The 14472-nt window shown below is 44.7% G+C and overlaps 1 protein-coding gene across 1 annotated transcript; it reads left to right on the forward strand.

Annotated features, from left to right (window-relative positions):
- On the forward strand, positions 1469-4675 carry MAGEB6 (MAGE family member B6). The gene is made up of 2 exons (NM_173523.2): positions 1469-1556; positions 2815-4675. Exon 2 carries the CDS (start codon positions 2876-2878, stop codon positions 4097-4099), a length of 1224 nt encoding a protein of 407 aa, NP_775794.2. The 5' UTR covers positions 1469-1556; positions 2815-2875; the 3' UTR covers positions 4100-4675.

Below are 14472 nucleotides of genomic sequence, written 5' to 3' on the forward strand. Positions count from 1 at the left end.
AAAGACTTAGGAAAAATAAATCTCCAATAAAGCAGTGTACTATGTTTATTTACTGTGGAGGAGATATTGTAAAGTTATTGATTCTCCTTAAATTTTTTACAGATTCATTGCCTTAGCCATAGCTGTGAAGATGACAACCAAACCCGGGTGGTTCTTTCCCATGACCAAACTCAACCATAGAAAAGTTAAAGGAAGAATTTTTTTTTAAAAAAAAAGCAGTATTAACAACAGCAAAACAACAAAAATGCGAACCTTGAGAGATGGTCAGTTTGTATTGAACAAGAATGGGTGTGTGGGCAGGTAGGGGCATGAGCTGAAGTAGAGACAGGTCTGTGGCCTACAACAGACGCAGATAACGGAATTGGCTAGAGGAAAAGCTTTAAAACTTTGGTCTTTGCTTCTTTCACTGTGCCATTGGACAATGCATTTTTTTTTCTGCTTCACTAAAGGAAATTCAGTCAGAAACTTGGACCCTATGTGCCAGTTCCATGGGGTAATATTGCCACAGCAAAAACATCTGGGTAGGCTGAAGAAGTATGAATCCAGACACTGTGCTAATAACTACCTGAAACTTCTTTAGTGGAAGTGGACTGGCCTTTAAATTCGTATTATTTTAATATAATATAAAGAATGGACTAAATTAGGATAGCAAATATTGCAGTGAGTCACACAAGATAATGGTAGAAATTCATTCATGAAGGTGTTGAATACAGACACTGATGTCAGCCAAGAGAGAAGTCCCAGACATAGCTATCAGGCTAAGAAGTCTTCTCACTTTCTCCTTATGAATTTTACAGGATCTAGTCAGAGGAAGGGGATGAATTTACATCAGAAAATGGAGAAAACTGAGACCCTGCCAGCAGTCAATGTGAGGACCCTGAGTGAGGACTGAGGGGCTCCACATATCAGAAGAGACAAGAGTGCCCCCCAAATCTCCCTTCATTCCCCGATCTTGCATCACAACTTAATAGCAGCAGCCAGGTTTAGGAGGCCCCAGGCAGTAGTGGCCAGGTGAGGTGTAACTGAATTGCACATGAGGAGTCTCAGGAAGTTGAAGTCTAGTCTGAGAGGGTGTCCTCAAGTCAGTAGAGGGGACATGGCAAGAATGAAGCGACGACACTGAGTGAGGGCTGAGGGCAAAGTCCATTCCAAAAAGGGGGTCTCACAGAGCTCCACCCCTACTGTCAGTCTTGGAAGGTCCCGGCATGGCTCCCGAGCTCAGGCTGCACCTTACTTCCAACTCTGGACTCTCAGGGAATGAGAGCCTCTATCTCCGGTTGACTGATTCAGCTCAACAGATAGAGAAGTCCAAGGGTCCGCGAAGAGCCCCTGAAAGAACTTTACGTGAGTTCCCTGGAATCTGCTGCACCCACAGAACACAAGGGGGAGTAACAGAGCCCTGCAGCTACTGTTACGCAGGGAGCGCCAGGTGGGCGTGGCCGGAAGTGGTTCCTCTTGACTTCCACCTAATAAAGGGGTCTGAGCCGGTCGCCTGAGCCTGAAAAGTGCTGTCACGTCAGCGGAAGGAGGCGTCCCAGATCTTCTCAGCTGTCTTGGTGGGTATCCTGACCTAGAACGGGGGGCATTCCCCGACAACTTCAACCCCCTTCCCCCGAAGAAAGGCGGCTCCACAGAGCCCTGCCCCAACCTGCCCCGACCTGGTCCCTGAGGAGTCCCCAAACATGGCTGTTAGGCCCAAAGTCCATTCATTTTTTTCCGTCGTGTTGAAGAACATGAAGGCCTCGGTCCAAGGCTTGTGGACCCAGGTCAGTAGAGGGAGAAATCTCAGGCCCTACATAGTTAAGAGGACCCTCCTTAGAATTGAGGGAGGGGATTCCATGTCCCGTAACGGGTTGCACCGAACTCTGCCCTTGACGTTAGCCTGGGGGTCCGGGCAGGTCTCTAGAGACTGAGGTGCATTCTCACTTTGTCCCTGTGAGAGTCAGAGAGGTAGGCCCCTGGTTGTAAGGAGATGGCAGCAGGTCAGTGAGGGTGATTTCCAGGTTGTGGGAAGAGTCAGGGTGAGGAGTCTAATTACTGTGAGGAGCATTCTCACTATAACTGGAAGAGCACTCAAATGCCTCCGCTGTTGTCAGCCCTAGGTGGTCTGGGTGTCCCCGGAATGAAGTGTTGGGCAGAAGTGCTTCCTTATTTCCTCCGGGTTAAAATTCCTACTGTCAATTTCAGAGTGGCACAAGGAAATGGGCCTCTGGGTCTTGTCAACAATTTTTTTTTTATTATACTTTAAGTTTTAGGGTACATGTGCACAATGTGCAGGTTTGTTACATATGTATACATGTGCCATGCTGGTGTGCTGCACCCATTAACTCGTCATTTAGCACTAGGTATATCTCCTAATGCTATCCCTCCCCCCTCCCCCCACCCCACAACAGTCCTCGGAGTGTGATGTTCCCCTTCCTGTGTCCATGTGTTCTCACTGTTAACTTCCCACCTATGAGTGAGAACATGCGGTGTTTGGTTTTTTGTCCTTGCGATAGTTTGCTGAGAATGATGGTTTCCAGTTTTAATGATGATCCTGAATGTAAACAGAGAGGATCCAACCCCTGAACAGAGGGGCCCCCACTGCCAGCCCCTGCTGTCACCTCAGTAAGCCCCAAAATGGGCTGTCATGCTATAGTCTAATACTCTAACTTCCTCCTGAGTTTGAAGGAGACAAACTGACCAGGAGAAAAGGAGTCCTGTGGGTTCCTAGAGCAGCTGTTCTGCGGAAACCTGCAGAAGGGGCCCTAGTTAAAGCCAAGATGGTCGCTCTCTGCTGAAGATATTGACGTGACGTCACTCTCTCCCATCCAGGTGCCAGCCTTCCTAGTCTTCCTACCCACACTCCTACCTGCTGTCACAGGCCACAGCCATCATGCCTCGGGGTCACAAGAGTAAGCTCCGTACCTGTGAGAAACGCCAAGAGACCAATGGTCAGCCACAGGGTCTCACGGGTCCCCAGGCCACTGCAGAGAAGCAGGAAGAGTCCCACTCTTCCTCATCCTCTTCTCGCGCTTGTCTGGGTGATTGTCGTAGGTCTTCTGATGCCTCCATTCCTCAGGAGTCTCAGGGAGTGTCACCCACTGGGTCTCCTGATGCAGTTGTTTCATATTCAAAATCCGATGTGGCTGCCAACGGCCAAGATGAGAAAAGTCCAAGCACCTCCCGTGATGCCTCCGTTCCTCAGGAGTCTCAGGGAGCTTCACCCACTGGCTCTCCTGATGCAGGTGTTTCAGGCTCAAAATATGATGTGGCTGCCAACGGCCAAGATGAGAAAAGTCCAAGCACTTCCCATGATGTCTCCGTTCCTCAGGAGTCTCAGGGAGCTTCACCCACTGGCTCGCCTGATGCAGGTGTTTCAGGCTCAAAATATGATGTGGCTGCCGAGGGTGAAGATGAGGAAAGTGTAAGCGCCTCACAGAAAGCCATCATTTTTAAGCGCTTAAGCAAAGATGCTGTAAAGAAGAAGGCGTGCACGTTGGCGCAATTCCTGCAGAAGAAGTTTGAGAAGAAAGAGTCCATTTTGAAGGCAGACATGCTGAAGTGTGTCCGCAGAGAGTACAAGCCCTACTTCCCTCAGATCCTCAACAGAACCTCCCAACATTTGGTGGTGGCCTTTGGCGTTGAATTGAAAGAAATGGATTCCAGCGGCGAGTCCTACACCCTTGTCAGCAAGCTAGGCCTCCCCAGTGAAGGAATTCTGAGTGGTGATAATGCGCTGCCGAAGTCGGGTCTCCTGATGTCGCTCCTGGTTGTGATCTTCATGAACGGCAACTGTGCCACTGAAGAGGAGGTCTGGGAGTTCCTGGGTCTGTTGGGGATATATGATGGGATCCTGCATTCAATCTATGGGGATGCTCGGAAGATCATTACTGAAGATTTGGTGCAAGATAAGTACGTGGTTTACCGGCAGGTGTGCAACAGTGATCCTCCATGCTATGAGTTCCTGTGGGGTCCACGAGCCTATGCTGAAACCACCAAGATGAGAGTCCTGCGTGTTTTGGCCGACAGCAGTAACACCAGTCCCGGTTTATACCCACATCTGTATGAAGACGCTTTGATAGATGAGGTAGAGAGAGCATTGAGACTGAGAGCTTAAGGCAGGGCTGGCACTATTTCCTTGGCCAGGGTACCTTATGGGGCCATATCCTACAGATCCTCCCATTTCTAGGGAGGTCTGAAGTAGAATTTTCACTTTATGTTAGAAGAGAGTAGTGAGCTTTCTAAGTAGTGCAGTATAGTAGAGGCTGGAGGGAACAAGATATGTATCTTTCTTTTGTTACACATGAGTAACTTGCAGATTTATGTTTTATCTCTGTCAGTTATCAACATTGTTCCTGTTAAGTGAAGGTTTATTTTGCTTCAGATTATACAATTATCAATAACATAGCTCTCACATTCATGGCTGTTTAACCAATCTGAAAGTTACGGTTTGGGAATTAATAAAACAAAGTCATACAACACATTTTCTTTGTAATTGAGAACTAGATAACATGGTAACAGAGAATTGATTTTCATATGAATCTTAACTCCACAGTAAAATAGTTGACATCATAATATGAAGAGAAAGAAAAGGAAAAACAGAAATGTAAAAGTTGTTTAATTCTTGGTTTGCCTAATTCGTTTTCCTATTTCTTTTCATACAAATAAAGGATACCTGGATTTATTTAGGTTATTAAGACTGCCGTTAGTTTGTTTTGTTCTAGTGCACTTCATATTCCATGTTATCTACTGCATCAAAAAACCCCTCTGATTGGAGGGTGGTATTTTCTGGGTTTAAAATAATCACATGAAATGCAGTGATCAATATAAGCCAGAATGAGTTCACTAAAAACCTTTTTGAAACAAGGCTGCTAAATTCAAAGAACTTCCATAGGCTTAAACTGTCTCAAATATTTTCAAGATGTGGTAATTTTGTTTCTTAATATATAGTTAGGAAAATTAAAAATAATTTGTGTAAAAACACATATTATGATATCTGTCATTTATGAAAGACTCAGTATTTCCTACTTAGTATGCCATATGTTTTATGGACAGTACTTATACCCCAAAATTCCTACAAGATAGGATTTAGCAGACTCACTTCAAAATGAAGAAATTGCAAATTTCTAAAAGCTCACAAGCTTGTAATTGACAGAGCTGGGATTAGATCTCTGGTCTGGATTCATCCAGAGCCCACATTTTTCCAATCCTCTCAGCCTGAGCCAGACTTTGTGTCTTTTAATCCATTTTTCCTCTCACTGCCCAAAATGCTTACCAGAGCATTAAAAGGACACTGTACCCAAAGCACTTCTTTGGATTCTACAACTAGAGTAATCATAATGCTGAAAAAATGAGTAGTATGAATTACGAAAAGAAAAAAATAATACACAGTGACAATATGATCATCTACATATGCAACATTAGATAACCCAATAAGATCAGGAGCTCCCAAAATCATCCTGCTCTGCCCTTTCCCCATAGAAATTAAATCTCCTCAAAGCAAAGTACATAATAGGCTAAGTCTGGCTGGTGAAGCAAAGGAATAGATCAGGGTGCTTTTTTCACTGACAGCCCACCACCTGTCCTGGGCCTCCTGCCTTGTGGTACAGCTTCCCTATCTCATACAGAACCTGGGACAGTGAGCCATTGTCTGCAAGGTTTGCAGTAGGGAATCTGCTCAATTGTTTGCAGGTGTGTGACATTTCCCAGCAGTCTTAAAGAGAAAGGAGGCATGATGAGAACCCCCATAAATGAGGATTCTGGAGATCACTGCCTCAGAATATCGGGGTCACAGAAAGACCAGGCCCTGCCTACTCTCAGATCTAGAAGGCCCAAGCTATAGCAGTAAGCTAAAATTTCTCTATTTACTCAAAGTTCTCAGGTACATAAGAGTCCCGGTCTAAGGGTAATATGCTCTGGTTACTGGGAGGAGGATCTCAGCCTCTGAAAATGATCAAGATGAGGACTCTGAATGAGAAATGAGGAATTATCCACCCAGAACAGTAGGGGCTCTTAAAGTTATATCTTGCTTTCTGCCTTGGGTGGCCATAGGCAGGGCTATCTGGTTGAGGTTCCCCCTCATTAAGGCTTCTACTGGTGCCCCAGGGAGATAAAGCTTTGATCTCATGGCAGTAGCTCCAATTCTGCCCACGAAGGAGGTCCTCTCAAGCCTGGATTGGATTTAAGGTGAGGACACTGGGGTAGCCAAGGAGAAGCACCCTGACTTCCCCCTCTGGTTTCTCAGTAAAGGAAAAGCTTTGGCTTCAGGCTGGCAGACTCAGATTAGCAGAGGAAGGAGTTCCACATCCCCAAATCAATGTTAGAAACCTGAGTGAGAACTGAGGGAGCCACTGACTCCAAAACAGTGGAATCTTGTAGGATTCTGACCCTGCTATTATTCTTCAGAGGATCCTCAATAACTGTGGCCAGATGTGCCTGTTCCTAACTTCCAACTGGGAGATTCCAGGAAGATATGGCCTTGGTCTGAGGAGTGAGGCCTTGAGTCAGTGGAGGGTAGAGTTTCAGATTTCGTTAGGTAGGAGTCAAGGTAAAGATGCTGAGGAAGGATAGAGGAGACCACTCACCACAGAACAGTGGGAATGCACAGTGTCCTGACCCTAATGTCAGCCCTAGGAGGCCCAGGGCAGAACTCTCAGGCTGAAGTGCCCCCTCAGTTCCTCTGGGAGTGGTCTCAAGGAAGTGAGAGTCTTAGTCTAATGGGAGCAACCCTAGTCAGCAGAGGATGTTTAATAGGAGTCACACTGCTGACCCTAAACAGGGATGACGGTACTCCTCCCAGAACAGGTGGAGCCACACAAAGCCCTGCCATTGATGTCTCTCCCTGGCAAACCCGGGAATTCTGAGATGATGAGTCCCACTCATTTCCTTTCAAGGCATCTCAAGGAGGTAAGGCATCTGGTCTAAGGGGCCAGCCTCAGGTTACCACAGGGATAAATTCCAGGTCATGCAAACAGTCAAGCTGAGGACCGTGAGGATGGAAGGAACCACCCAAATCATAACAGTACAGACAACGCAGAATCCCTCAGGTACTGTCAGCTGTAGGTGACCATAAGGCTTTCATGCTCAGATAAGGAAACTCTTACATCCTTCTTGGTAGTCAAGGAAACTCGTATTTCCTTCTTGGTAGTCATAGGGAATTAAAGGCTGTACATAAGCAGACAGGCCTCTAGGTCTTAGGAATGTTCATTGTGAGGACCCTGAGCAAGGACTGAGGGGAGCAACCAACCTAGAAGAGACAGGAACCCACATAGTCCTGCCCCTTTCAGCCCTGGAAATCCCCAGGCACGAATAACCCGAGTATGTCAGCCACTCATTCCTCTCCCTGGAGGACTCATGTCACTAGAGGGAGGAGTCAGAGATCCTGGCTGAGTGAGAACTCAAGGAGTCACAAACCCTTGAACAGTGGAGTCCCACAGAGTCTTTCTCCTGCTATTAGTTCTCAGAATCCCCTAATAGCTCCAGCAAGATCACTTTGACTTCCACGTCTGGGGACTCCAGGTGGTGAGGAACTTGGTCTGAGGCTGGCCATCTCATCATAGAGAACATTACCAGGTCGAGCCAGGAGTCAGGGCGAGGACCATGAGGAAGGAGCAGAACATGAAACCTCCTATAACAATGGAGGCAGCACATAATATCTCCCCTACTGTTAGTCCTGGCAGATTCAGGGATAAATGTCAGGCAGAGCAGAGGCACCCCTCAATTCCCCCTCAGGGTGACAGAGAAATGAGGGCCTTATTCTGAGGGGGATGGTATCAGGCCACGAAAGGGAGAAATTGTGGGCACTGTCACGAGTCAAAATGAAGAATCTGAGCGAGGACTGGTGAGGCCAACCCTCATGAGGCCCAAAAGCGCCTGCCACAGCTTTCTGCCTGGGGAGACTCCAGGCAGGTATGGCCAAATAAGGCTGCCCTCCCTTCCCTCTACTAGGTCTCAGAGAGTTCTGGGCCTTGCTATGAGGAGATGCCTTCAAGTCAAAGAACAGAGGAGCTGCAAGTCCTTCTAGGAGTCAAATTGAGGACCCTTGGTGAAGACTAAGATGATCATACTCCTTCCCCCAGTAGAAGGGGCAACATAATGTCCAACCCCCACCCTGGCTTTCAGCATTTGAAAACCCATAGCAGGACTGTCAGGGAGAGGCTTCGCCCATGTTTTATACTGGGTCTAAGGGAGGTGAGCTCCTTAGTAAGAAAGTGAAGCCACGATAGAACAGAAGAGGGGGTCCCAAGCCCTACACAGAGCCAATATGAGAACTCTGAATAAGGACTGAGGGTCCAGTGATCCCAAGACAGAAAGGATCCCCCAAGGTTGTCACCCCTGACAAGGGTGGTAGGCTGAGCCACTGTCTCACTTTTTGTGGGTTCCAGGGGGCTTCAAAGTGTCAACTTCAGAGCAGAACAGGAAAGAGGTACCAGGCTCTGTCAACAGTTAGCATAATGATCTGAAATATCATCTGAGTGTTCTCCCCAACCCCAGAACACAGGGATCTCCACAGTTAATCTCTGCTGTCACTCCAGTAGGCCCCAAGCTGGGTTGCAAGCTGCAGCCTAAGACTCACTCTAAGTTGCTTTACCAGGTTCTCAGGGGACAGACTCACTGGGAGAACAATTGCCCAATAGGTTCCTAGAGCAGTGATTTCACAGAAACCTGCATTGGCAGCCTTGGTTAAAGCCAAGGTGGTCTCTCCTTGCTGACGGTGCTCACAGCATTTCATTCTCCTTCCACCAAGTGACCATGTCACCTGCGACCCTATTCACGCTTCTGTCTGCTGTCTCTGCCCACAGTCATGCCTTGGGGTCAGAAGAGGAAGTTCCACACTCATGAGAAATGCCACTAGGGTGCTCACATCACTGCAGGAGAGGAAGAGTCCCTCTCCTCCTTTTCTCCTGTTTTGGAGAGTGCTCTTCAGAGCTCTCTTGCTACTGACATTCCCCAGGAGTCTCAGAGAGCCCCCTTCATCATCACTTATTCTGTAGATGTTTCATGCACAAGATCTGATGAACATGCCAAGAACCAAAATGAGGAAAAGCCAAGAACCTCTCCAGCAAGAGCCACCACTGGAGCTCACACAGAGACCTTCTATTCAGGAAGGGAAGTTTGGTAATACAATTTCTGCTGGAGAAGTGTAAAATTAAAGATCCCATGACAAAAGCAGCATTGCTGAACGTTATTAACAAAAAGTGCAAGGACCATTTCCCTGAGATCCTCAGGAGAATCTCTGAGTGCATGGAGCTGGTCTTTGGCCTTGAATTGAAGAAGTTGACCCCAGCAGTCATGTCAATGCTCTTTTCAGTGAACTGGATGTCCCCAGCAACAGGAGTCTGAGTGGTGATAAAGCATTGCCTAAAAGTGGTATCTTGATGATGCTCCTGGGTATAAGCTTCATGAAAGGTAACTGCACTGCAGAAGAGGAGATCCGAACATTTCTGAGTAAGATTTGGATCTACACTGGGAGAGTGATTTCATATATGAAGAGTCCAGAAAAAAGTTTGGTACAGGAAAGTAGCTAGAGTACCAGCAGGTGTCCAACAGAGATCCTCTACACCATGAATTCCTGTGGAATCCAAGAGTCCATGCTGAAATCAGCAAGATGAAAAACTGGTGACTTTTGGTCAAAGTCAATGATACCATCCCAAGGTGTCTTCCTATCCCTTTATACAAGGCACTGAGACATGAGGAAGAGAGAGCCTGAGGTATAGCTGCAGCCAGGACTGAGGCTAATCCCATGGCCAGTGCACATTCTGGGGCTACAAACAGCAGTTTCTCCCATGTCAAGTGAAGGTTGAGGGAGATTCTTTACCCTTTTGAAAAATAATGCAGTTAATGTTCAACTTAGTAGAGGACCTAAGCAGGACTAGAAGAAATATAGTTTATATCTTCTTCGTGTTTCTGTTCTATGTGAATAACTTGATTTTTTTTTTTTTTTTGGTTTTCAAATATTGTTTTATTTATTTTTTTCCTTCCAACTTTTATTTTAGGTTCAGGGGGTGCATGTCCAGAATTTTTACATGGGTAAACTGCAACTTGCTGGGGTTTGGTATACAAATTATTTCATCACCCAAGTAGTAAGTATCGTACCCAACAGGTAGTTTTTGATCCTCACCCTAGTCCCACCTTCCACCCTCAAGTAGAATCTAGTGTTTATTTTTCCATTCGTTATGTCTGTGTATACTCAATATTTAGCTTCCACATGTGAGTGAGAACGTGTGGTATGTAGTTTCCTGTTCCTGTGTTAATTTGCTTAGGATAATGTCCTTCAGCTGCATCCCTGTTGCTGCAAAAGGCATGCTTTTGTTCTTTTTTATGGCTGTGTAGTATTCTGTGATGTATATGTGCCATATTTTTTTTTTATCCCACTCACTGTTGATGGGCATCTAGGTGAATTTGTCTTGGCTATTGTGAATAGTGCTGTGATGAACATATGTGTGCATGTCTCTTTATGGTAGAAAGTTTTATATTTCTTTGTGTGTATACCCAGTAATGGGATTGCTGGATGAAATGGTAAATTCTGTCTTAAGTTCTTTGAGAAACGTCCATACTCCTCTTCACAGTGGCTGAACTAATTTACATGCCCACTAGCAGTGTATAAGTGTTGCCTTTTCACCACAACCTCACCAACATTTATTTTTTTCACTTTCAAATCATAGTCATTCTAAATGGCATCAGATGGTATCTCATTGTGGTCATGATAACATTTCTCGAATGATTGGTGATGTTGAACATACACAAATCAATAAATGTGATTCATCATATAACCAGAAGTAAAAGCAAAAACTACATGATCATTTTAATAGATACAGAAAAAGATGTTGATAATATTCCACATCCCTTCATGTTAAAAGCTCTCATCAGACTAGGCATTAAAGGAAGATACCTCAAAATAATAAGAGCCATCTATGACAAACCCACAGTCAACATCATACTGAATGGGCAAAAGCTAAAAGCATTCCCTCGAGAACTGGAACAAGACAAGGATGCCCACTCTCGCCAGTCCTATTCAATATTGTTCTGGAAGTCCTAGCCAGAGCAATCAGGAAAAAAGAAAGAAAGAAAAAGGCAACCAAATAGGAAGAGAGGAAGTCAAACTATCACTCTTTGCAGATGACATGATACTATACCTAGAAAAACCCATAGTCTCTTCCAAAGGCTCTTACATCAGATAAACAACTTTAGTCAAGTTTAGGATACAAAGTTAATGTAGAAAAATCAGTAGCATTTCTATATATCAATAATGTCCAAGCTGAGGTCAAATCAAAAATGCAATCCCATTCACATAGCCACAAAAAGAATAAAACACCTAGCTATACATCTAGCCAGGGAGGGGAATGATCACTGCAAAGAGAATTATAAAACACTGCTCAAAGAAATCAGAGACAACACAAACAAATGGAAAAACATTCCATATTCATAGACAGGAGGAATTAATATTGTTAAGATGGCCATACTGCCCAAACCAATTCACCAATTCAATGATATACCAACAACGGTTTTCACAGAAGTAGAAAAAACTATCCAACATTCATATGAAACCAGAAAAGGGCCCGAATAGCCAAAGCAATTCTAAGCAAAAGGAGCAAAGCCAGAGCTCTCCCACTACATGACGTCAAATTATACTACAAGTCTACAGTAACTAAAACAGCAAGTTGCTGGCAGCAAAATAGACACATAGACCAATGGAACAGGTTAAGGAGCCCAGAAATCAAGTCGCACACCTACAACCATCTGATCTTCTGCAAATTCTACAATAACAAGCAATGGGGAAAGGACTCTTTATTCAATAAATGGTACTGGGATTACTGGCTGGCCACATGCAGAAGAGTGAAACTGAACTCCTTCCTTACACCATATACAAAACTCAATTCAAGATGGATTAAAGGCTTAAATGTAAAACCTAAAACTATAAAACCCTTGAAGAAAATCTAGGAAATACCATTCTGGACAGAGTTCCCGGCAAACATTTCATGATGAAGACACCGTAAGCAATTGTAACAAAAATAACAACAACAAAAAATAGACCAAAAAAAAAACAAAAACAGAAAAATAGACAAAAACAAAAAATAGGCAAAAATTAGGCAAAAATAAATAAAAAATAGACAAAATACCAAAAATAGACCAAAAAAAAAAAAACAAAAACAAAAATAAACAAGTGGGGCCTAATTAAACTAAAGACCTTCTGCACAGCCAAGGAAGCTATCAACAGAACAAACACACAACCTAAAGAATGAGGGAAAATGTTTTCAAACTATGCATCTGACAAATGTCTAATATCCAGAATCTAAAAGGAATGTAAAGAAATCAATAAGCACAAAACAAACAACCCTAATAAAAAATGGGTGAAGGACCTAAACAGACACTTCTTAAAAGAAGACATACAAGTGGCCAATAAATATATGGGAAAAATGCTCTTTTATGCATGTATTTATCAGTTAAAAAAATTTTTTAACTTATATCAAAGCTTTATTTGCTATTTTCACAGTCTGCATGCAGTATCCTTGTACATGCAAAAGTCATCTTGTTTTATTGCAGTTAACTTGATTTCCAATTGCTCTTTTGATTTTCCAACTGTGCGTTTTAACTCTTTACAGTTACAAATTATAAAAAACACTTATAGACATACAATAATGTGTGGGTCCATAAAGCCTCATTTTTTAAACATTAAAAATATAGGTTTTTGTAGATGAGTGGGACTGGATAAAGTGCCTCTTGCTTATTCTCAAAACTCCTAGAGCTTGTGAATACACAAGGCAATTTCCAGAACACCAGCAGGCAGGAAGCTTAAATTTCCTACACACAGAAATTCAGTTCCTTTTCTATCATGACTCAAACAGGAAGCTCAGGAAGGAATTCACAAGAAAGGTTAGAAAAATGTATACTCTGTGTGTGTGTGTATACATAAATATTATATATATTACACATATATATAAAATTTCTACTCCCCTCACCCCATCTTACAAAGCATTTTGAAGATCATAATAATCTGGGAAGTGCATGCCTGTGTGTGTGTGTGTGTGTATATATATATATACACACACATAAATATTATATATATATATAAAATATCACCATGCCTTGATAAATTTTAAAAATATTTACATATATATTATATATATATATTATACATATATATTTCCACTCCCCTCACCCCATCTTACAAAGCATTTTGAAGATCATAATAAACTGGGAAGTGCATGACTTCTAAGATACTAGTATGATTTAGGAAACAACACTGTATGAAATATCTGCCATGACACAATATATTATCTTCGTGATCCCCCTATTTACAGGATCTATAAGGTTATGTAGAATGAGATAATTTAAAAGCTCAAATTCCTTCGAAACCAGCATAACTTTTAGTAGGCGGGATGCCACCAGGGTTGTCCAGAAAGTGCCAGTAGGAGTCATGGAAGATGTTACAGCATCAAGTGCAACAGTAACTGCGTAAGGAGACTCTGGAAGGGCAAAGGGGAGAGACTGAGAAGTGTTAATTTTAAGGATTATCTTGCCAGAAATCTCTGGCTGACTTCCCAGAGCAAAGAGACTGATTTTCTGTCCTCCTCCCTGCAGGAACTCACCTAGACAAAAGAGAAAATTCTAAAGACTGGTGGGGACAATAGGAAACATAGACTGGCTAAGACCCAGAACAAGCATACTGAGAGGTGACAGCGTGCTGGCAGTACTCACAGCCCTCGCTCACTCTCGGTGCCTCCTCTGCCTGGGCTCCCACTTTGGCAGCACTTGAGGAGCCCTTCTGCCCGCCGCTGCACTGTGGGAGCCCCTTTCTGGGCTGGCCAAGGCCAGAGCTGGCTCCCTCAGCTTGCAGGGAGGTGTGGAGGGAGAGGCGCCGGCGGGAACCAGGGCTGTCCGCGGTGCTTGCGGGCTAGCGCGAGTTCCGGGTGGGCGTGGGCTGGGCGGACCCTGCACTCGGAGCAGCCAGCTGGCCCCACTGGCCCCGGGCAGTGAGGGGTTTAGCACCTGGGCCAGCAGCTGCTGTGCTCAATTTCTCGCGGGGCCTTAGCTCCCTTCCCCAGGGGCAGGGCTCGGGACCTGCAGCCCGCCATGCCTGAGCCTCCCCCGCCTCCGTGTGCTCCTGTGCAGCCCGAGTCTCCCCGACGAGCGCCGCCCCCTGCTCCACGGCAGGCAGTCCCATCGACCACCCAAGGGCTGAGGAGTGTGGGTGCACGGCACAGGACTGGCAGGCAGCTCCACCTGCAGCCCCAGTGGGAGATCCACTGGGTAAAGCCACCTGAGCTCCTGAGTCTGGTGGGGATGTGGAGAACCTTTATGTCTAGCTCAGGGATTGTGAATGCACCAATCGGCATTCTATGTCTAGCTCAAGGTTTGTGAACATACCAATCAGCACCCTGTGTCTAGCTCAGGGTTTGTGAATGCACCAATCAACACTCTGTATCTAGCTACTCTGGTGGAGCCTTGGAGAACCTTTATGTCTAACTCAGGGATTGTAAATACACCAAT

Source organism: Homo sapiens, chromosome X (assembly GCF_000001405.40).
Source record: "Homo sapiens chromosome X, GRCh38.p14 Primary Assembly".
Lineage (NCBI taxonomy): Eukaryota > Metazoa > Chordata > Mammalia > Primates > Hominidae > Homo > Homo sapiens.

Excerpts from the sequence above, each read along its gene's own strand:
- MAGEB6 (NM_173523.2), top strand. The coding sequence starts at position 2,876 with ATGCCTCGGGGTCACAAGAGTAAGCTCCGTACCTGTGAGAAACGCCAA.